Source organism: Homo sapiens, chromosome 19, assembly GCF_000001405.40.
Source record: "Homo sapiens chromosome 19, GRCh38.p14 Primary Assembly".
Classification (NCBI taxonomy): Eukaryota; Metazoa; Chordata; class Mammalia; order Primates; family Hominidae; genus Homo; species Homo sapiens.
Genome location: NC_000019.10, coordinates 2,502,853 through 2,523,354, shown reverse-complemented (window position 1 = coordinate 2,523,354; position 20,502 = coordinate 2,502,853). Strand labels below are relative to the sequence as shown.

At 53.5% G+C, this 20,502-nt stretch overlaps 2 protein-coding genes and 1 pseudogene across 3 annotated transcripts in view, besides 5 other annotated features; all 3 read left to right on the top strand.

The window, feature by feature from the left end:
* Window positions 1-12,136, top strand: part of GNG7 (G protein subunit gamma 7) — a 191,476-nt gene extending 179,340 nt beyond the window's left edge. For both annotated transcript variants that reach the window (NM_052847.3, XM_047438629.1), the window contains 2 exons: window positions 2,630-2,747; window positions 8,208-12,136. In NM_052847.3, the coding sequence (NP_443079.1) occupies window positions 2,667-2,747; window positions 8,208-8,333 (207 nt within the window). In that variant the 5' untranslated portion in view covers window positions 2,630-2,666 and the 3' untranslated portion in view covers window positions 8,334-12,136. The remainder of the gene's footprint in view (window positions 1-2,629; window positions 2,748-8,207) is intronic.
* Window positions 4,291-4,963: an enhancer, noted in NCBI's record as "H3K4me1 hESC enhancer chr19:2518390-2519062 (GRCh37/hg19 assembly coordinates)". NCBI's record gives its function as "activates a minimal SCP1, AML or CMV promoter by ChIP-STARR-seq in primed H9 embryonic stem cells {active_cell/tissue: H9 hESC(primed)}" and the evidence as "EXISTENCE:reporter gene assay evidence [ECO:0000049][PMID:30033119]".
* LOC124904789 (uncharacterized) lies at window positions 9,784-11,515 on the top strand. Its single transcript, XM_047439801.1, has 3 exons — window positions 9,784-9,830; window positions 10,264-10,414; window positions 11,021-11,515. Exons 1-3 carry the CDS (start codon window positions 9,784-9,786, stop codon window positions 11,513-11,515), a joined length of 693 nt encoding a protein of 230 aa, XP_047295757.1.
* Window positions 10,895-10,974: an enhancer, noted in NCBI's record as "active region_13697". NCBI's record gives its function as "activates an Ori minimal core promoter by ATAC-STARR-seq in GM12878 lymphoblastoid cells {active_cell/tissue: GM12878}" and the evidence as "EXISTENCE:reporter gene assay evidence [ECO:0000049][PMID:35858748]".
* Window positions 11,088-11,598: an enhancer, noted in NCBI's record as "H3K27ac-H3K4me1 hESC enhancer chr19:2511755-2512265 (GRCh37/hg19 assembly coordinates)". NCBI's record gives its function as "activates a minimal SCP1, AML or CMV promoter by ChIP-STARR-seq in primed H9 embryonic stem cells {active_cell/tissue: H9 hESC(primed)}" and the evidence as "EXISTENCE:reporter gene assay evidence [ECO:0000049][PMID:30033119]".
* Window positions 11,325-11,504: a silencer, noted in NCBI's record as "silent region_9801". NCBI's record gives its function as "represses an Ori minimal core promoter by ATAC-STARR-seq in GM12878 lymphoblastoid cells {active_cell/tissue: GM12878}" and the evidence as "EXISTENCE:reporter gene assay evidence [ECO:0000049][PMID:35858748]".
* Window positions 11,655-11,794: an enhancer, noted in NCBI's record as "active region_13696". NCBI's record gives its function as "activates an Ori minimal core promoter by ATAC-STARR-seq in GM12878 lymphoblastoid cells {active_cell/tissue: GM12878}" and the evidence as "EXISTENCE:reporter gene assay evidence [ECO:0000049][PMID:35858748]".
* RNU6-993P (RNA, U6 small nuclear 993, pseudogene) lies at window positions 20,214-20,308 on the top strand (annotated as a pseudogene).

Here is a 20,502-nt window from a genome sequence, read left to right as displayed (position 1 = left end):
GCCTCAAACTCCTGGACTCAAGTGATCCTCGCATCTCAGCCTCCCAAAGTGCTGGTATTACAGGCAAGAGCCACCATGCCTGGCTGTGTTGCCCTTTTATACAGAGACCTATCTCCCTCCCAGCCCCTGCCCCTCCCTGATCCCTGGCAGCCGCTAATCTGTTCTCCATTTCTAAAATTTCGTCCTTGGGCCGGGCATGGTGGCTCATGCCTGTAATCCCAGCACTTTGGGAGGTCGAGACAGGCAGATCACTTGAGGCCAGGAGTTTGAGACCAGCCTGGCCAACATGGTAAAACCATGTCTCTACCAAAAATACAAAGATTAGCCAGGCATGGTGGCACATGCACCTGTAATCCCAGCTACTCAGGAGGCAGAAGTGAGAGTATCGCTGGAGCTGGAGAAGCGGAGCTTGCAGTGAGCTGAGATCATGCCACTGCACTCCAGCCTGGGCAACAGAGCGAGACTCTGTCTAAAAAAAGTCCTCTTAAACACATTACACAAACAGAAGCATGCTACACATCCCAGGCCCTGGAGATTCCCCTGCGGTGTGGTATGCATGGATGGTCCTTTCCTTCTTTTTTTTTTTTTTTTTTTTTTTTTTTTGAGACAGAGTCTCACTCTGTCCCCCAGGCTGGAGTGCAGTGGCGTGATCTCTGCTCACTGCAAGCTCCGCCTTCCGGGTTCACCCCATTCTCCTGCCTCAGCCTCCCGAGTAGCTGGGACTACAGGCACCCGCCACCACGCCCGGGAGACGGGGTTTCACCGTGTTAGCCAGGATGGTCTTGATCTCCTGACCTTGTGACCCGCCCGCCTCGGCCTCCCAAAGTGCTGGGATTACAGGCGTGAGCCACCGCGCCCGGCCAGTCCTTTCCTTCTTATCACTAAGTAGGCATTTTTTGAGAACTCTGGAATCTGCCTTGACTTCTCTGCGGCTGCCTGGCTCTGCAAAACAGACAGCGATGCCATGAGTTATGACAGAGACAGGGTGCGGCTTAATTAACTGCTCACAGACGCCCGGCTGGGACTGCGGCTGCCCAGGACTCTTGAACCTGGCCCCTGCCCCTGCCACCCCCATCAGCACCAACCCCCTCACTGGGTCCTACGAAGCAGGTTTCTCTAGGCTGGACACTACTGACACGTGGGGCTGGATCGTTCCCTGGAGCGGGGCCGTCCTGGGCACTGCAGGGTGCTGAGCAGCATCCGTGGCCTCCACCCACTCCCTGCCAGGAGCACCCCCAAGTCATGACAGCCACAAATGTCCCAGACATCACCCAGTGCTCCATGGAGGGCAGAGTCATCCCCAGATGAGATCTGGGGATTCCACGGACTCCCAAGAGACTCTGCGTCCTGTGATCGTCTGCCCTGTTGAGGTCCTGGGTTTTTCCAGGAGAATTCAAGAAGCAACAGCATGGGCTCCTGACTGGTTCAATATGAAGGACACGGAGGAGAGGCCGGGCTCACACCTGTCATCCCAGCACTTTGAGAGGCCGAGGAGGGTGGATCACCTGAGGTCAGGAGTTCAAGACCAGCCTGGCCAACATGGTGAAACGCTGTCTGTACTAAAAATACAAAAATTAGCCGGGTGTGGTGGCACGTGCCTGTAATCCCAGCTACTCGGGAGGCTGAGGCAGGAGAATCGCTTGAACCCGGGAGGCAGAGGTTGCAGTGAGCCGAGATCACACCACTGCACTCCAGCCTGGGCAACAGAGCAAGACTCTGTCTCAAAAAAAAAAAAAAAAAAACACGGAGGGGGACAGTCACCAGGGGTTCTGCTGTGATCCCTGCCCTGACCCAGGGTCTCCCCTGGGTACTATGGATATCGCGTTCGGATCCTTCCCTGGCGTGGGGCCGTCCGGGGCACTGCAGGGAGCTGAGCAATGTCCCTGGCCTCCACCCAACCCACTCCATGCCAGGAGCACCCCCCACAGCCACAGATGTCCCCAGATATCACCCAGTGTCCCCTGGAGGGCAAGAACCCCTGCCATGGACTGAGGCAGGCCACCCGGGAGCCTGCGTGGGTCCTCCCTTCTCCAGAGGGCCTGGCCTATTGCCTTTGCCCTTTCTTTATTTTTTCTTTATTTTTTTTTTTGAGACGGAGTCTTGCTCTGTCGTCCAGGCTGGAGTGCAGGGGCACCATCTCGGCTCACTGCAAGCTCCACCTCCCGGGTTCACGTCATTCTCCTGCCTCAGCCTCCAGAGTAGCTGGGACTATAGGCACCCACCACCATGCCTGGCTAATTTTTGTATTTTTTTTTTTTTTTTTAGTAACGATGAGGTTTCACCGTGTTAGCCAGGATGGTCTCGATCTCCTGACCTCATGATCCACCTGCCTCAGCCTCCCAAAGTGCTGGGATTACAGGCGTGAGCCACCACGCCCAGCCTGCCTTCGCCCTTTCATTCTCTCGTTCTGCAAACTCCCACAGAGGATTGTGACGGCTGACCGCGTGCCAGGCTCTATGCTGAGAGTTAAACGAGTGCCAGCTCTTTGTACACGGAGGCCCCTGGTCCCCACCCAGAGGCAAAGTGGCCGTGCCTAGAGTCGGGAAGGTTGAGCCAAGGCCGGGCGCCCCTGCTGCCACCCAGAGGCCTGACCTGAACTTTGACCCACACCCCTCTGCTTCCCCCACAGCTCTCTGAACAACGGGGCCCAGAGCTGATGGCAGACAATGTCAGCCACTAACAACATAGCCCAGGCCCGGAAGCTGGTGGAACAGCTACGCATAGAAGCCGGGATTGAGCGCATCAAGGTGAGCCCAGCGGGCATCAGGAAGAGGAGGGGAGAGACCCTTGGGGGCCCCGCAAATGATGAACAGGAGGCTCGGCAGGAGGGCAGAGGCTTGCACCCCAACTGTGTCTCTTGCTGTGTGACCTTGAGGCCCTCCCTTAACCTCTCTGAGCCTCCATTTCCTCGGCAGAAAGAGGCAGCTGATCTAACACCTATCTCCTGCCTTCGTGCAGCAATGTAACGTGCTTTGTAAACACACTGGGGCCCCGTGGAGACGGTCATCGTGACAGAGCGCTTTGTCGTCCTCATCTGCATTGATCTGTCCAGCTCCTTGGCAATGACAGATGCAAATTAAACTGAGAGACACAGTCCCAGGCGGGAGGAGACTGCATGTCGTATCTACTTTTCACTTCTGTGTTGTTTGAAGGATTTGTTTGTTTTGTTTGTTTGAGACGGAGTCTTGCTCTGTCACCCAGGCTGGAGTGCAGTGGCGCGATCTCGGCTCACTGCAACCTCTGCCTCCCGGGTTCAAGCAATTCTTCTGCCTCAACCTCCCAAATAGCTGGGATTACAGGCATGCACCACCATGCCTGGCTAATTTTTTGTATTTTTAGTAGAGACGGCGTTTCGCCATGTTGCCCAGGCTGGTCTTGAACTCCTAACTTCAGGTGATCCGCCTGCCTCGGCCTCCCAAAGTCCTGGGATTCCAGGCGTGAGCCACCATGCCTGGCCCGTTTGAAGTTTTTTACAAGGATCACACTTGAGGCTGCGCCTTGTCGAGATTTATTTTAAGGCAAGCTCTGAAATCTGCAGTGTAGGCCAGCAGGCTGGAGACCCAGGGAAGAGTTGGTGCTGCAGCTGGAACCCCAAGGCCACCTGGAGGCAGAGTTCCCTCCTCCTGGAAGGACCCCAGGCTTTTTCTCTTAAGCCCTTCAACTGATTAGATGAGGCCCATCTGCATTACAGACGGTCACCTGCTGTGCTTGAAGTCTACGGATTTAAATGTGAATCACATCAAAAAAAAAAAAAAAATTTTGCATGTGAGGCACAGTGGCTCACAGCTGTAATCCCAGCACATTGGGAGGCCGAGGCAGGAGGATCACTTGAGGTCAGGCGTTCAATTCCAGCCTGGGCAACAACATAGCAAGACCCCATCTCTACAAAATAAAAAACAGGCTGAGCGCGGTGACTCACACTTATAATTCCAGCACTTTGGGAAGCTGAGGTGGGCAGATCACCTGAGGTCAGGGGTTCGAGACCAGCCTGGCCAACATGGTGAAACCCCGTCTCTCCTAAAAATACAAAAAAAAGATTACCCGGGTATGGTGGTGCATGCCTGTAATCCCAGCTATTTGGGAGGCTGAGGCAGGAGAATCACTTGAACCTGGGAGGTGGAGGTTGCAGTGAGCCGAGATCGCACCATTGCACTCCAGCCTGGGGAACAGAGCGAGACTCTATCTCAAAAAAAAAAAAAAAAAAAAAAGAAACAAGAAAAAAACAACCTTCACAGCAACATCTAAAAAAACATTTAACTGGCCAGGCACGGTGACTCACGCCTGGAATCGCAGCACTTTGGGAGGCTGAGGTGGGCGGATCACAAGGTCAGGAGTTCGAGACCAGCCTGGCCAATATGGTGAAACCCCATCTCTACTAAAATTACAAAAAAATTAGCCAGGCGTGGTGGCAGGCTCCTATAGTCCCAGCTACTTGGGAGACTGAGTCAGGAGAATAGCTTGAACCCGAGAGGCAGAGGTTGCAGTGAGCTGAGATTGCGCCACTGCCCTCCAACCCCAAGCGACAGGGTGAGACTCCATCTCAGAAAAAAAACAAAAACAAAAAAACATTTAACCAAACCCTGGGGCACCATGGCCCGCCCTAGTGCACCCATAAAATCAGCCATCACCCCACGTATCCACTCAGAACTCAGCTCTCCAGCACCTGTCACCAGCTTGTCATTATTGGCCACGGGAATTTATTAGGAAGGGGTGACCGGCCCTTGCTTTGCTCCCAGCGGGGAGGCGGACAGAGTCGTCCCTGCTGGCCAGGTGGCACAGGTGGTTCTGATCGGCCGGTGAGTCTCCCTCCAGCGCAGCTCTGAGCCCTCCCAGACCCCATCACGCTGCTGCTGGCCGGGATCCAACCAGTAGGGGAGGGGTCTGCCTCCCACGAGGTGTCTGAATGTTCCAGCAATCTGACTGCTGAGGACAGACCTGAGCATTCAAAGCATTCCTTCGGGCTGAAAAGAGAGAAAGCCCTGGTTGAAGTGGTTTTCCTTTTACGAGTGGGTGCCAGCCCCCAGCCCGGGCGGAGGGCGGTGACTCATCCTGCCCTGTTTGATGTTGAGGAGGGGCCCCCACCGCCCCTTTGAATGTCGGGCCTCGGGGGGAGCCAGGATTTGACCCGTCCCCACTCCCAGTCCCGCCTGAGGTTTTACATCCCCAGCTCCAACGCGGCGACCAGAACCACAGAACCTCAACGGCGACGATCTTGGGGCTCACCAGCCCAGCGCAGTGGGCATGGGGGGTGGTGCCAAGGTGCCACGTGCTGGAGCCACAATGCCAGCTATTTTCGGGGTCTGGAGGCTATTTCTGTCGTCCAGGAGGGCCGCTTCCCAAATAGAAGTCTAGAAAGCAGGCCAGGTCCGAGTCATCACAGGCCGCAGCCGGCGGGCTCACTCTGTGGGCATGAGCGTCCCCCGGCTGCCCAGCTGGGCAAGACCCCAAAGCTGTCCCACAGGCTCCTGGCCGTTTGAAGGGCCCAGGTCCCAGGTATCCTTGGGGTCCAAAGGAGGACAGAGGATCTGGGATGCAGAGGTACTGGCCAGGCGAGGCGGCTCATGCCTGTAACCCCAGCACTTTCAGAGGTCTAGGCGGGAGGGTCGCCTGAGCCTAGGAGTTCGAGACCAGCCTGAGCAACATAGTGAGACCTCATCTGTACCAGAAAATTATTCTAAAAATTATGGCCAGGCCAGGCACGGTGGCTCATGCCTGTAATCCCAGCACTTTGGCAGGCTGAGGTGGGCGGGCCACCTGAGGTCAGGAGATTGAGACCAGCCTGGCCAACATGGTGAAACCCCGTCTCTACTAAAAATACAAAAATTACCCTGGCGTGGTGGCGTGCGCCTGGAGTCCCAGCCACTTGGGAGGCTGAGGTGGGAGAATTGCTTGGACCCAGGGGGCGGAGGTTGCAGTGAGCCGAGATCACGCCACTGCACTCCAGCCTGGCTGACAGAGTGAGACTCTGTCTCAAAAAAATAAATAAATAATAAAAATGAAAATTATGGCCAGGTGTAGTGGCTCACTCCCGTAGTCCCAGCTACTCAGGTACTCCCAGCTGAGGCGGGAGAATCACTTGAGCCCAGGAGGTGGAGGCTGCATTGAGCTATGATAGCACCACTGCATTCCAGCCTGGGGGACAGAGCGAGACCCTGTCTCAAAAACAGATAACAAAGGCACCTCCGTGAAGCGACACTGCGATCCTTCTCGGATCATCCCCTCACCTCTGCCACATCTAATCCTCCCCCTGTGATCGCCCTCTCGCCTTCCAGGAAAGAAAGCAAGGAGAGAAAGGTCGCTGAGTCCCACAGAGACACAGTTACCGGTTACGGGATGAGATCCAGGGCCAGATGGACGTGTCCCCGTGTAGCCTGACCCAGGACACCGGACACCCCAGCCCCAGCCCTGCTGGGGTGAGCTAAGCGGGGAGTGGCAGCGGCACCCCCAAAGGCATGGCCAGGAGAGACGGGCGTGTAGCCTGGGGCGGGCTGGCAGCAGCCCGGGGCAGGGGGTCCCTCCTGTGACCGGAAGCATCAGCCCCTCAGAGGGTTGGAGTCATCAGGGGGTTCAGGCTGCAAGAGAAACATGGAGACGGGCTTATCTCGTCCTCACCGGGCCCAGCCCCCTGGCCGGGTGTCACCGTGAAACCTCCCTCAAGCTCATCAAATGTGCAGGCAGCGTTTTCCTATCAGGACCTTCCTTCCTTGGGGTGAGAATGAGGTCTTGGACTCCGAAAACGGGGTCCATCTGTCCCTGACCCTTTGTGTTCAAAATCTGGCAACGCTTGCTGAAGGAAGCTCAGCCTTTTCTTTTTTAAAAAAATATTTTTTAGGCCAGGTGCCGTGGCTCACGCCTGTAATCCCAGCACTTTGGGAGGCTAAGGCAGGTGGATCACTTGAAGTTAGGAGTTTGAGACCAGCCTGGCCAACATGCTGAAACCCGTCTCTACTAAAAATACAAAAATTAGCTGGGCGTGGTGGCAGGCACCTGTAGTCCCAGCTACTCAGGAGGCTGAGGCAGGAGAATTGCTTGAACCCGGGGAGCAAGAGATTGCAGTGATCACACCACTGCATTTTTCTTTTTTTAATTTTGGGAAAAGACACACATAAATTTATTTATTTGTTTATTTATCTTAATTGAGACAGGGTCTTGCTCCATCCCCCAGGCTGGAGTGCAATGGTGTAATCTTGACTCACTGCAGCCTTAACCTCCCAGGCTCAAGCAATCCTCCAGCCTCAGCCCCCCAGTTAGCTGGGACTACAGATGCCCACATCACTATGCCTGGCTCATTTTTGTATTTTTTGTAGAGATAGGGCCTCACTGTGTTGCCTAGGCTGGTCTCAAACTCCTGGGCTCAAGTGATCCTCCCGCCTCCGCCTCCCAACATGTTGGGATTACAGGTGTGAGCCACCGCACCTGGCCAAGACACATATAAAGTTTACCACTAGTGATATTTAATATAGTCACAATGCTGTGCATCCAATCACGTTTATTCCAGGACATTCCATCACCCCAAAAGGAAACCCTGTCCCCCATCAGCCATCACTCCCCAGCACCGGCACCCACGCATCCCCTTCCTGTCTCTGTGGATAGGCCTGTCCTGGACATTTCATAGAAATGGGATCACACGGCCGGGCGCAGTGGCTCACACCTGTAATCCCAGCACTGTGGGAGGCTGAGGCAGGCATATCGCGAGGTCAGGAGTTCGAGACCAGCCTGATCAACATGGTGAAACCCTGTCTCTACTAAAAATACAAAAATTAGCTGGGTGTGGTGGTGCATGAAGGTAATCCCAGCTACTCGGGAGGCTGAGGCAGGAGAATCACTTGAACCCGCGAGGTGGAGGTTGCAGTGAGCCGAGATCGTGCCACTGCACTAGAGCCTGGGCGACAAATAGAGTCTCTGTCTCAAAAAAAAAAAAGAAAGAAATGGGATCACACACTGTGTGGCCTTCTGTGTCTGGCATCTCTCACTGAGCATGAGGCCCTTGAGATGCATCCACGTTGTGGCCTATGTCAGAGCCTCACTCCTTTTCATGGCTGAGTAATATTCCAGCGTGTGGACGGGCCGCACTGTTTGCCCACGCCCCCATCAATGGGCTCCTGAGCTGTTTCCGCCTGTGGCTCTTGGGAATGGTGCTGCTGTGAACCCGGGTGTGCCAGCCTCTTCTTATGTCTCCTCTGTCTCCTCCTTGTGCTCAAACACAGGTCTCCAAAGCGGCGTCTGACCTCATGAGCTACTGTGAGCAACATGCCCGGAACGACCCCCTGCTGGTCGGAGTCCCTGCCTCGGAGAACCCCTTTAAGGACAAGAAACCTTGTATTATTTTATAACTGTGTTCTCATATGTTCTCTCTCTCTCTCTCTCTTTCTCTCTCTCTCTCTCTGTCTCTGTCTCTGTCTCAGGCAGGGCATCATTCAGTAATTAGCTCAAACAAAACATCTCAAGTCCCCAAAACCTTTAATTCCAAAAGAAATCCCCCCTCTCCCCGCCAAAAAAGGCGTTCCCACCGCCCGGATGGGGTAGAATGGACCTTGTAGGTGGAGATGAATTTTCAGGTCCGACCCCATGGCCCTCTCAGTTTGGGCCAAAAGGGATGGAGGCTTTACGGCCACTTCCCGTTCGGAATAACTGAAATCCCCCAGCGATGGGGTAACAATTTTTTAAAACTCTCGATTGCCGTTTCAATTGTGGACCGGCGCCGAGGGGGAAAGGGAGGTGACTTCGCCCGGTGGCAATAGTTCCGGGAGAATTGGCCATTGGTAAAAAGACTTCATAGGGTCACTGGAATGCTTTGTGTTGTTTTTAAGTAGAGGTAAAATTGAGATGGGGGGCGGGAGGTGACATCATGAAGTTTTTTGGAAATATCTCTTTATTTAAAAAATTGTTACTCCATACGGCTAAACTCGGATTGTGATGGTTGAACCCGTCGCTAAACTGCACGATCCTGCAATGAATGCACGATGGAGTGTGGGGGTCTGGAGGGGGCTTCGTCTATGAAAAGTTGCCAAGTGTGACTCCCCTGCATGATGTTAGCCATGGGTCCTTTCTGCAGGGTCCCCTCTGTGCCAGAAATGGGTTTTCGGGACTTGCCCCAGGGAAGCCGTCACCGGCCCGGCCCATCATGTTTTTGGATTTTTTTTTTTTTTCTTTTTTTGAGATGGAGTTTCATTCTTGTTACCCAGGCTGGAGTGCAGCTGCATGATTTCAGCTCACCGCAACCTCTGCCTCCCCGGTTCAAGCGATTCTCCTGCCTCAGCCTCCCGAGTAGCTGAGACTACAGGCGTGTGCCACTACGCCCGGCTAATTGTTGTATTTTTAGTAGAGACGGGGTTTCACCGTATTGGCCAGGCCGCTCTCAAACTCCTGACCTCGGGATCCGCCCACCTCGGCCTCCCAAAGTGCTGGGATTACAGGCATGAGCCACCGCGCCCAGTGTGTTTTAAGCATGAGGCATCCGCGTGGCTGGGAGAGGCTTTGACCATCCTTGGCTCTTCCAGGTTGTCCTACCCTCTGGCATCCACCATAGACGTTTTTCAAACAGAAAATGCAGGCTGGGGAGCCGCGGCAGGGCGGGTGGGGCTACCCTGTGCTGCTGTGTGTACAAAATTGTTCCATGATCTTGGAGTGACTCTGAAGGACTCTGGGAGGTGAGACGTTGTCCCGGAGATCAAAACGTCCGCTCAAAACGTTACCCTGTCGCTCGAACCCGATCTTTTTGCTTTTCCACCCCCGTGCAACCCAGGACGGCTGTCTGAGGCCGGGAGATGCCTTAGACGCAGGATGGGCCACTCCTCCCAGCGGCAAGTGGAAATCGAAGATGTCATGGGGTCGGGGGGAGGCTTCTGAAAGATGACTGCGTCCTCCTCTGCGGCACGGACGGGAGCAGGTGCAGCCACATCTTCCAGGGCCTGCCGGCATCACCTGCGGCCACACCTGAGATGGACCCCACGCAGCCCTGATCGCAGGAGGCCTGGCCGCCCCGACCCCCTCCACGGGGCTGGCCTAGAAGCAAGTAGTAGAATAAAACTAGCCTAGTCCTGTCCCTCCGGCCCCAGTGGAGACAGGCGTCTAAGAACCCGTGCCGAGAGGGTTCCTGGACGGCCGCCCAGGTCCTCCGTGCAGGCCCGTGAGGCGGGGATCCCTGCTTGGCTCACTTCCTGAGCTGGTGACTGCCAGGGTTCCCACCTCGCCAAGGCTAGAGGGCTCCGGGTGTGTGTGCAGGTGTCGGGGGAGTGACCTCCACTCCTCAACCTCGGGCAGCTCCCACAGGCCACAGCCGGGCTCCCCACCCCCGGCACCCAGCTCTCTACGGCAGGTCCGGGAGGGCTGGGGCTTCGGGGAGCCCTACCCGCCAAACCTGCTGTTGGCCCGGGAGAGCCCCAGAGGCTCCCGGAGACTGCAGCCTCCTGTGGTTGGGCTGGGAGCCGGCAGGGTTTGGGGTGTGGGCGTCCCCACCACGCATAGCAGGAATGGCAGGAAGGGACAAAAGCCTGTTCCAGAGACCCTGGGAGGACCCCAGGCAGGGAGAGCCCGCCTGCCTCCACCCTTTCCAACAAGCCATCTTGGTAACTGGGAACAAACACACCCCACCCCGTTTTTCCTTAAAAGAGGCCTTAATCCCCGAGCCCCCGCTGCCAGGGCAGAGGGAGGAGGGGGCACAGCTGTGCCAAGCCCGGCCCCACTGGTGTGTCCTCACAATGTGACCCCAGAAATGCCAGCAGGGAACGGAGGCTGCTGCAGAGACGCAGCCCCAGGCAGCCGGGGCTCCTAGGCTGGTGCAGATGGTGGGGTTAAACGGGCTGAGCGTTCCAGGTAAACTGAGGCTCGGGGAGGGGAAGGACAGGCTGGCCTCTCCTTCACTGTCCACAGGGCCTTGGGTTCCCTGAGCTGTCCAGACCCCACCATCTCCCGGACCCCAGGGAGGTGGCCATTGCCAGAAGCCTGTGGGTTTCTTTCTAGCTTGGGGGATTAAAAAAAAAATTCTCCACTTTTTTTTTTCTTGAGTAGACTTCAGTGACCACACTGTGGAAAATACCTTTGCAGACGTGGCACCCGAGTGCACACACCGACCGCCACATGTGCTTTTCTGCCGGGAATCCCTGGGGTGAACGCATGTTTTATGGGCGTTTCCAGGAGCGCGCGTGCACCTCCAGACGGGGAGCTGGCGGGCGGGGGTGGCAGCAGCAGCTCTAGCCTTGGGGGGACAAGCCTCTCTCAGCTACGCCAGGGGAAAAGAGAGTTAAGGACACTCACCCCCACCCACGCACACACACAAGGCAGCGTCGGGTGGGAGAGAGAAGGCCGTTTCTCCTTCTGTAGCCTGGGTCTCCCACGGGCCTTCCCCGCTGCTGAGCGAGACACCAGTAGCCAGGTGAAGGGCCACAGCGGGCCAGGCCCCGACCCTGTTGTGACCCACCTGGGCACCTTCCCGGACCAGCTCCGCCTCCCCTGCCCTCCTCTCTCCAGGAAGGAGCCAGAACCCTCACCCCTCTCCCACCCTCCCCAGGGGTAACCCCAGGCCAAGCACAGATAGCTCAGCTGCGACCTCTGGCCTCTGGGGACATAAACGGGGCGGCTGGGCCAGGGCGGAAGGTGCTCCTGTTTCCCTCCTTCTGCGTGGTCCCTTTGACGGGCCGGCCACCGTGTCCGAGGCGCAACGCTAGGCCTCCAGGCCACGCATCCATCTCCAAGTTAACAGCCCGTCCTGCCCAAGTTCTGGGGCAGGTAGGAGAGGGCCGTCACACACCTGTCCGCCCGTGAGTGACCCGGGGGGGCTTCCGGGTGGAGGTGGAGCCACCACGCCCTTCCTCAAGGGGTCACTTATTAAAAAGTCCACGGCCTGAGGCCAGGCCCTCTGCACAGAAGCCATATGCCGGCCAGCCGCGCCTCCTCCTCTGTCCACGGAACCGCTGCCCATCTAACCTTCGTAAAGACCTGTCTCCTGTTTCCAGCCGCCGCCTGTGGTTCTAGCAGGTTCTATGCCATCTGCATTGGGATGTCTGGTTGTTTTTATTTCTGACTTTTTTAAAATTCCAGGTGTGCCGCACCCACTTTCTCGCAGTGTTTTAATATTGTGTGGAGTTGTCGATACCACGTGAATTCATACACAATAAAAAGCCTCACTCTCCCTTTTCTCCTGGCTCTGGGCTGTTCCTTCTCTCTCTGGCCCGGGCCTTGCTGGGGAGGGAGCTCCTAGCATGCAAGCAGATGCCCCAGGCTTGGCTCCAGGCATGGGGACCCGCGGCCCCACACCATCCCGTCCACCCTCCCTTCACCGGCCCAGGGAAGAGGTAACAGGAGGGGACCCCTGGAGGCAGCACCACAAACCAGGGACGTTCAGGCCCAGTGGGCTTTCGGATTTGTACTTAGAACATCTAGGAGGGGCCGGGCGCGGTGGCTCAGGCCTGGAATCCCAGCACTTTGGAAGCCCGAGGCGGGCGGGTCACCTGAGGTCAGGAGTTCGAGACCAGCCTGGTCAACACGGTGAAACCACGTCTCTGCTAAAACTATAAAAATTAGCTGGCCGTGATGGCAAGTGATTATAATCCCAGCTCCTCAAGAGGATGAGGCAGGAGAATTGCTTGAACCCAAGAGGCAAAGGCTGCAGTGAACCAAGATCACGCCACTGCACTCCAGCCTGGGCAACAGATCAAGACTCCATCTCAAAAAAAAAAAAAAGGCCGGGCGCGGTGGCTCACACCTGCAATCCCAGCACTTTGGAAGGCTGAGGAGGGCGGATCATGAGGTCAGGTGTTCGAGACCAGCCTGGCCAACATGGTGAAACCTTGTCTCTACTAAAAATACAAAAAAAAAAATTAGCTGGGCGTGGTGGTGGGCTCCTGTAGTCCCAGCTACTCGGGAGGCTGAGGCGGGAGAATCACTTGAACCCAGGAGGCGGAGGTTGCAGTGAGCCGAGATTGCGCCACTGCACTCCAGCCTGGGCAACAGAGTGAGACTGTGTCTCAAAAAAAAAGAAAAGAAAAGAAAATCTAGGAGGAAGGCTGGGCTCAATGGTTCACACCTGTAATCCCAGCACTTTGGGAGGCTGAGGTGGGCGGATCATCTGAGGTCAGGAGTTCAACACCAGCCTGGGCAACACAGTGAAACCCTGTCTCTACTAAAAATATAAAAATTAGCTGAGTATGGTGGCGGGTGCCTGTAATCCCAGCTGCTTGGGAGGCTGAGGCAGGAGAGTTGCTTGAACCCAGAAGGCAGAGGTTGCAGTGAGCCGAGATCGCACCACTGCACTCTAGCCTGGGAAACAAGAGTGAGACTCTGTCTCAAAACAAAACAAAACAAAGAAAGATTAAGAAGAGCTTTTGGGCTCTATGCTGGCAGCAACACAGGAGGATACAAGCTGTCACATGCTGCCAAAGGACCTCTACGCGGGTACAACCTTCCCTGAAAGTGTTTTGGCGGCTGGGCGCAGTGGCTCGTGACAGCTATCCCAGCACTTTGGGAGGCTGAGGCAGGTGGATCACCTGATGTCAGGAGCTTGAGACCAGCCTGGCCAACATGGTGAAAGCCCGTCTCTATTAAAAATACAAAAATTAGCCGGGAGTGATGGCGGGCACCTGTAATCCCAGCTACTCAGGAGGTTGAGGCAGGAGAATCGCTTGAACCTGGGAGGTGGAGGTTGCAGTGAGCCGAGATCGCACCACTGCACTCCAGCCTGGGCAACAAGAGCAAGACCCCGTCTCAGAAATAAATAAATTAATTAATTAATTAAATAAAATGTAAAATGTAGGAGTTGTGTAACCATCACCTCTGTGTAGTTCCAGAATACTGTCATCACCCCAAAGACATCCCATCCCCATCAGCAGTCACTCTCCACCCCTCCCCAGCCGCAGGCCACCGTGAATCCCTTTACTGTCTCGGTGGATTAGCCTGTCCTTCGCAGTTCACATAAATGGGATCATGTATTGTGTGGCCTTTTATGTCTGGCACCTCTCCCTGGCCGTGATGTCCTCAGGGTTCATCCAGGTGCTAGCCTATGTCAGAGCTTCGTTCCTTTTCATGGCTGAGTAATATTCCTTTTTCCAGACAGACCACCTTGTATTTATCCATTACGATTTGTATTTAAGGACATGGAAGATGCTTAAATATTAGGTTGGTGCAAAAGTAGTTGTGGTTTTCACCTTTTTAACGGCAAAATCGCAATTACTTTTGCACCAGCCTAATAATACAGTCACTGAAAAACTTACATGCAAAATCGTACACATTATTAGCAATGGGTTTTTTGTTTTGTTTTGTTTTGTTTTTTGAGACGGAGTCTCGCTCTGTCGCCCAGGCTGGAGTGCAGTGGCGCGATCTCAGCTCACTGCAAGCTCCGCCTCCCGGGTTCAGGCCATTCTCCTGCCTCAGTCTCCCGAGTAGCTGGGACTACAGGCGCCCACCACCACGCCCGGCTAATTTTTTGTATTTTCAGTAGAGACAGGGTTTCACCGTGTTAGCCAGGACGGTCTCGATCTCCTGACCTCATGATCCGCCCGCCTCAGCCTCCCAAAGTGCTGGGATTACAGGCGTGAGCCACCACGCCCAGCCTTGTTTTATTTGTTTTGTTTTGTTTTAATGCACAGAAAAAAAGACATGGGAAATAAGCCAAAAAGGTTTACAATTTCTTTTCCTGGTCCCCAAAACAAAATATAATAACTATAGAAGTTACATAAAATAGGCCGGGCACAGTGGCTCACGCCTGTAATCCCAATGCTTTGGGAGGCCGAGGCTGGCAGATCACCTCAGGTCGGGAGTTCAAGAGTAGCCTGACCAACATGGAGAAACCCCGTTTCTACTAAAAATACAAAAAAATTAGCCGGGTGTGGTGGCCCATGCTTGTAATCCCAGCTACTCGGGAGGCTGAGGCAGGAGAATCACTTGAACCTGGGAGGCGGAGGTTGCAGTGAGCTGAGGTCGTGCCATTACACTCCAGCCTGGGCAACAAGAGTGAAACTCCGTCTCAAAAAAAAAGAAGAAGAAGAAGAAGTTACATAAAATCATACAGCATTCAAAAGTCATCCTTGGCTGGGCACTGTGGCTCATGCCTGTAATCCCAGCACTTTGGAAGACTGAGGTGGGCGGATCACCTGAGGTCAGAAGTTCGAGACCAGCCTGGCCAACATGGTGAAACCCCGTTTCCACTAAAAATAGAAACATTAGCTGGGTGTGGTGGCATGCACCTGTAGTCCCACCTACCCAGGAGGCTGAGGCAGGAGAATCGTTTGAACCTGGGAGGTGGAGGTTGTAGTGAGCTGAGATCACGCCACTGCACTCCAGCCTGGGCAACAGAGCGAGACTCTTGTCAAAAACAAAAAAAACACAAAACACACACACCACACACACACACACAAAGGACATGGAAGATGCTTAAATAATAGCCATTGAAAAACCCACATGCGGCCGGGCACGGTGGCTCATGCCTGTAATCCCAGCACTTTGGGAGGCCGAGGCGGGCGGATCACGAGGTCAGGAGATGGAGACCATCCTGGCTAACACGGTGAAACGCCGTCTCCACTAAATATACAAAAATTAGCCGGGCGTGGTGGCGCACGCCTGTAATCCCAGCTACTCAGGAGGCTGAGGCAGGAGAATGGCGTGAATCTGGGAGGCAGAGGTTGCAGTGAGCTGAGATCACACCACTGCACTCCAGACTGGGCGACAAAGTGAGACTCTGTCAAAAAAGAGAAAGAAAGAAAAGAGAGAAGGGGGGGAGGGGAGAGAGAGAAAAAAAGAAAGAGAGAGAGAGGGAGGGAGGGAGGGGAGAGAGAGAAAGAAAAAGAAGAGAGGGAGGGAGGGAGAGAGAAAGAGAAGGGGAGGGGTGGGGAGGGGAGGGGAGGGAAGATCCCTCCACGCCCTTCTTCAGACCCATTCTCAGCACCTGTAGCCACCATTTGTTCACAGCTGAGGCAAATCCTTCAAACTTCTAGGCGTGCCCAAACGTTGGCCTCAGAAGAAAGCAGTGACAGTAAGTAGCAATAATGGTTCATTTCCTCGGATTGTGTCATCTGATCCTCCCGGAAACGCTGTGAGGTAAGGGCTATGGTTCTACGCATTGATTGTGCAGATGAATAAACATGGACTGACAGAAGGTAAACAACTCCCTTGAGTCCACAGCTAGAAAGTGGTACGGCCAGAACTGGGCAGCATTTTCAGCCAGACCGTAGGGCTCCCGCACATGTGCCCAAGACCGTCTTCTGTAATGGAGATCGGCACTATTTCATACCAACACTTGCCATTTGTTTTTAAAACTGGACTCACTCAACACAGACTGCTCTGAGGCTGGCTTAGCTTTTTTTTTTTTTCGCTTAACTTCCTATGACCGACAGCTTGCTAAGTCATTGCATTTTTATGAAGGAAAACAAAAAAGATATAAAAATAATAATTTTTTAAAAATCAGTGCATTTTAACAACTCCAGAGTAATTTAATTTACATGCTTAGCCGGACGCGGTGGCTCACACCTGAAATCCCAGCACTTTGAGAGGCCGAGGCGGGAGGATCACCTGAGGTCAGGAGTTCAAGGCCAGCCTGGTCAACATGGTGAAACCCCGTCTCTACTAAAAATACCAAAATAAAAAATAAAAATTAGCCAGGCATGGTGGCAGGCACCTGTGATCCCAGCTACTCAGGAAGATGAGGCAGGCAATGAACCTGGGGGGCAGAGGTTGCAGTGAGCCAAGATTGTGCCACTGCACTCCAGCCTGGGCAACAGAGCGAGACTCCATCTCAAAAAAAAAAAAATTATATACTATTGATGGACATTTAGATTATTTCTGAGTTTTGCTACTTTTACACACTATCTTTCAATAAAGTGCCTTATGAACATGTTTCTTTCTTTCTTTTTTTTTGACACGGAGTTTCACTCTTGCCGCCCAGGATAGAGTGCAATGGCGTGTTCTCGGCTCACTGCAACCTCCACCTCCCGGATTCAAGTGATTCTCCTGCCTCAGCCTCCCGAGTAGCTGGGATTTAGCTGGGATTACAGGCATGCACCCACCACGCCCAGCTAATTTTGTATTTTTAGGAAAGACGGGATTTCGCCATGTTGGTCAGGCTGGTCTCGAACTCCTGACCTCAGGTGATCCGCCTTCCTCAGCCTCCCAAAGTGCTGGGATTACAGGCATTAGCCACCGTACCCAGCCTACATATTAATTTCTGTACACACACTTGGATGTGTGTGTGCATTCCAGCATATGTGTGTGTACCGGTCCCTAGAATTATGAGACATTTTTATTCCCTCATATGTAAAATGCCTATTCATACTTTTTGTTTCTTTTCTTTTCTTTTTTTTTTTTTTTTCTTTTTTGAGACAGGGCCTGCTGGCTCTGTCGCCCGGGCTGGAGTCCAGTGGTGCTATCATAGCTCACTGCAGCCTTGATCTCCCAAATTCAAGCAGTCTTCCCACCTCAGCCTCCCAAGTAGCTGGGACTACATGGAAGCACCACCACACTCAGCTAATTTAAAAAAAAATTTTAAAGATGAGTTCTTGCTGTGTTGCCCAGGCTGGTCTCCAATTCCTGGGCTCAGGTGATCCTCCTATCTTGGCCTCCTAAAGTGCTGGGATTACAGGTGTGTGCCACTGCACCCAGTCTGTTTATTTCCTAATTAAATCACTTGCGTATTTCTTTGGGATGAAAGACACTTTTTACGCAGGCTTGTTAATTCTGGTCTGTTACAAGTGTTGCAAATATTTTCTCCTAGACTATCATTTAGATTTTTATGTCTGGCACACAAAACTCATCAACATGTTCCTTTCTTGATTCTCTAGGTTTTGTGACATGCTTAGTTAGAAAACTGTTCCACAAACTAAGATTTAAAATGATACATCCTGGCTGGGCGCGGTGGCTCACGCCTGTAATCCCAGCACTTTGGGAGGCTGAGGAGGGTGGATCGCGAGGTCAGGAAATCGAGACCATCCTGGCTAACACGGTGAAACCCTGTTTCTACTGAAAATACAAAAAATTAGCTGAGTGTGGTGGTGGGCACCTGTAGTCCCAGCTACTCGGGAGGCTGAGGCAGGAGAATTGCTTGAACCCGGGAGGTGGAAGTTGCAGTGAGCTGAGATCCCGCCATTGCACTCCAGCCTGGGTGACAAGAGCAAGACTCTGTCTCAAAAGACAAAAATGTTGTACATACACAGCATGGAATATTATGCAGCCACAAAAAGGAACGGGATCATGTCCTTTGCAGGGACATGGATGGAGCTGGAAGCCGTTGTCCTCAGCAAACTAACACAGAACAGAAAATCAAACACCACATGTTCTCACTTATAAGTGGGAGCTGAATACTGAGAACACATGGACACAGGGAGGGGAACAACACACACTGGGGCCGCTGGGGGGTGAGGTGAGGGGGAAGGGAGGGAGGGCTCCAGGATAAAGAGCTGACGTACGTGGGGCTTTTTGTTTGTTTGAGACGGAGTCTCGCTCTGTCACCCAGGCTGGAGTGCAATGGTGCAATCTCAGCTCACTGCAACCTCTGCTTCCCAGGTTCAAGTGATTCTCCTGCCTCAGCCTCCTGAGTAGCTGGGATTACAGGCGTCCGCCACCACACCCAGCTAATTTTTGTATTTTTAGTAGAGACGGGGTTTCACCATGTGGGTCAGGCTGGTCTCGAACTCCTGACCTCGAGCAAGCCACCCACCTCGGCCTCCCAAAGTGCTGGGATTACAGGCATGAGCCGCCGCGCCCAGCAACATGTGGGGCTTAATACCTAGGTGACGGGTTGATTGCAGCAAACCACCATGGCACATGTTTACCTATGTAACAAACCTGCAGGCTTGGGAATTCTGATCTGTTATAGGTGTTGCAAATATTTTCTCCTAGACTATCATTTAGATCTGCACATGTATCCCAGACTTAAAATTAAATTATTTTAAATTAAAAAAAAAAAAAAGAATCCAACTCCTCGTCTTTCCCAGCGTCGAGGGGCTCACATCCCTCAGCTCGGGGCCCCTTCCTCCACCTTCGCAGCCAGGAGCGCAGCCTCTTCTAGTCTTTCTTATGAGGGACCCTGTGAGGACACTGGGGACTCCAGATCATCCAGGCTGCTCTCCCATCTCAGAGTCCTTCACTCAATCGCACCTGCAGAGTCTCTGTTGCCGTGGAAGGTGACATACCCCTGTGCTCCCGGAATTAGAACAAGGACATCTTTGCCGGCTGCTATTCAGCCAACCATAGCTTGGGCTCCCCAGAGGCAGAGCCTGAGACAGAAGGTTCATATGCTCTTGTTTTCTGGGGGAGTCCAGTCTGATCCTCCATACGAGAGGGAGAGACCAGGACAATGAAGCAGGGAGCGAGAGCAGGCCCATAAGAGGGTGTGTCACTGCCTCAGCCTTGGCTTAATATAGGCGCCCTCGACCCCGCAAGCTCACGGAGCCGGCGTCTCAGGGCCCGTAGGCGGGAGGAGGTTGACTCACCGGCTCCTCACTGGCCACAGGCTCACCTCTGCACTGACTGGTTGTGGCTGCCTGTGTGCAGGGGGGAGCTCAGGTGCAGAGCTCACACCTGAGTGACATCCGTCAACACCTGACGGAGCTAGCCCGTGAGTGGGTGAGGTCGAGGGGCTCTGCAGGGGAGCATAAGAGGGTCTCATACCAGGACCGGCCATGTAACGTGCAGGGCTCAGTAAAAAATGAAAACACAGGGCCCTTTTTCAAAAATGTTTAAGAATTTCAAGACAATGACAGCAGCATTAAACCAAGGGTGGGGCCCTTCCGACCACACAGCGCTTCTGATCATGGGGCCCTGGGTGACTCACAAGTCGCACACCCATGAAGTCGGCCCTGTCTCATACACCCACCAACATATTTTTCAGATATTCCAGAAGGGGTTTGCTTAAGCTATTAGGACAGAAAAAAAGTCACAACAGATTGAAGTCATTAAACATTTAAAGCCTTTACTGGCCGGGTACAGTGGTTCATGCCTGTAATCCCAGCACTTTGGGAGGCCAAGGTGGGTGGATCACCTGAGGTCAGGAGTTCGAGACCAGCCTAACCAACATGGCGAAACCCCGTCTCTACTAGAAGTACAAAATTAGCTGGACGTGGTGGCTCATGCCTGTGATCCCAGCTACTCAGGAGGCTAAGGCAGGAGAATCACTTGAACCTGGGAGGCAGAGATTGCAGTGAGATGAGATCGCATCATTGCAACAAGAGCAAAACTCCATCTCAAAATTAAAAAAAAAAAACAAAAAAACAAAACCTTACCCTTATAACATGCTCACTTCAGTAGCACATATTCAAAAAGTTGGAAGGATGCAAAGATTAGTATTGCCCCTGCGTAAGGATGACATGAAGCATTTCATATTTTTAAAAAAGAAATAATAATAATTAAAAATTGCCAGGCGGGTGGCTCACGCCTGTAATCCCAGCACTTTGGGAGGCCAAGGCGGGTGGATCACGAGGTCAGGAGATCGAGACCATCCTGGCTAACACGGTGAAACCCCGTCTTTACTAAAAAAAAGTACAAAAAATTCGCCAGGCGTGGTGGCGGGCACCTCTAGTC

Coding starts and splice junctions, on each gene's coding strand:
- LOC124904789 (XM_047439801.1), top strand. CDS start 9,784: ATGGGCCACTCCTCCCAGCGGCAAGTGGAAATCGAAGATGTCATGGG. Junction 9,831..10,263: donor GAAATCGAAGATGTCATGGG/GTCGGGGGGAGG, acceptor AACCTCGGGCAG/CTCCCACAGGCCACAGCCGG. Junction 10,415..11,020: donor GGAGACTGCAGCCTCCTGTG/GTTGGGCTGGGA, acceptor AGACTTCAGTGA/CCACACTGTGGAAAATACCT.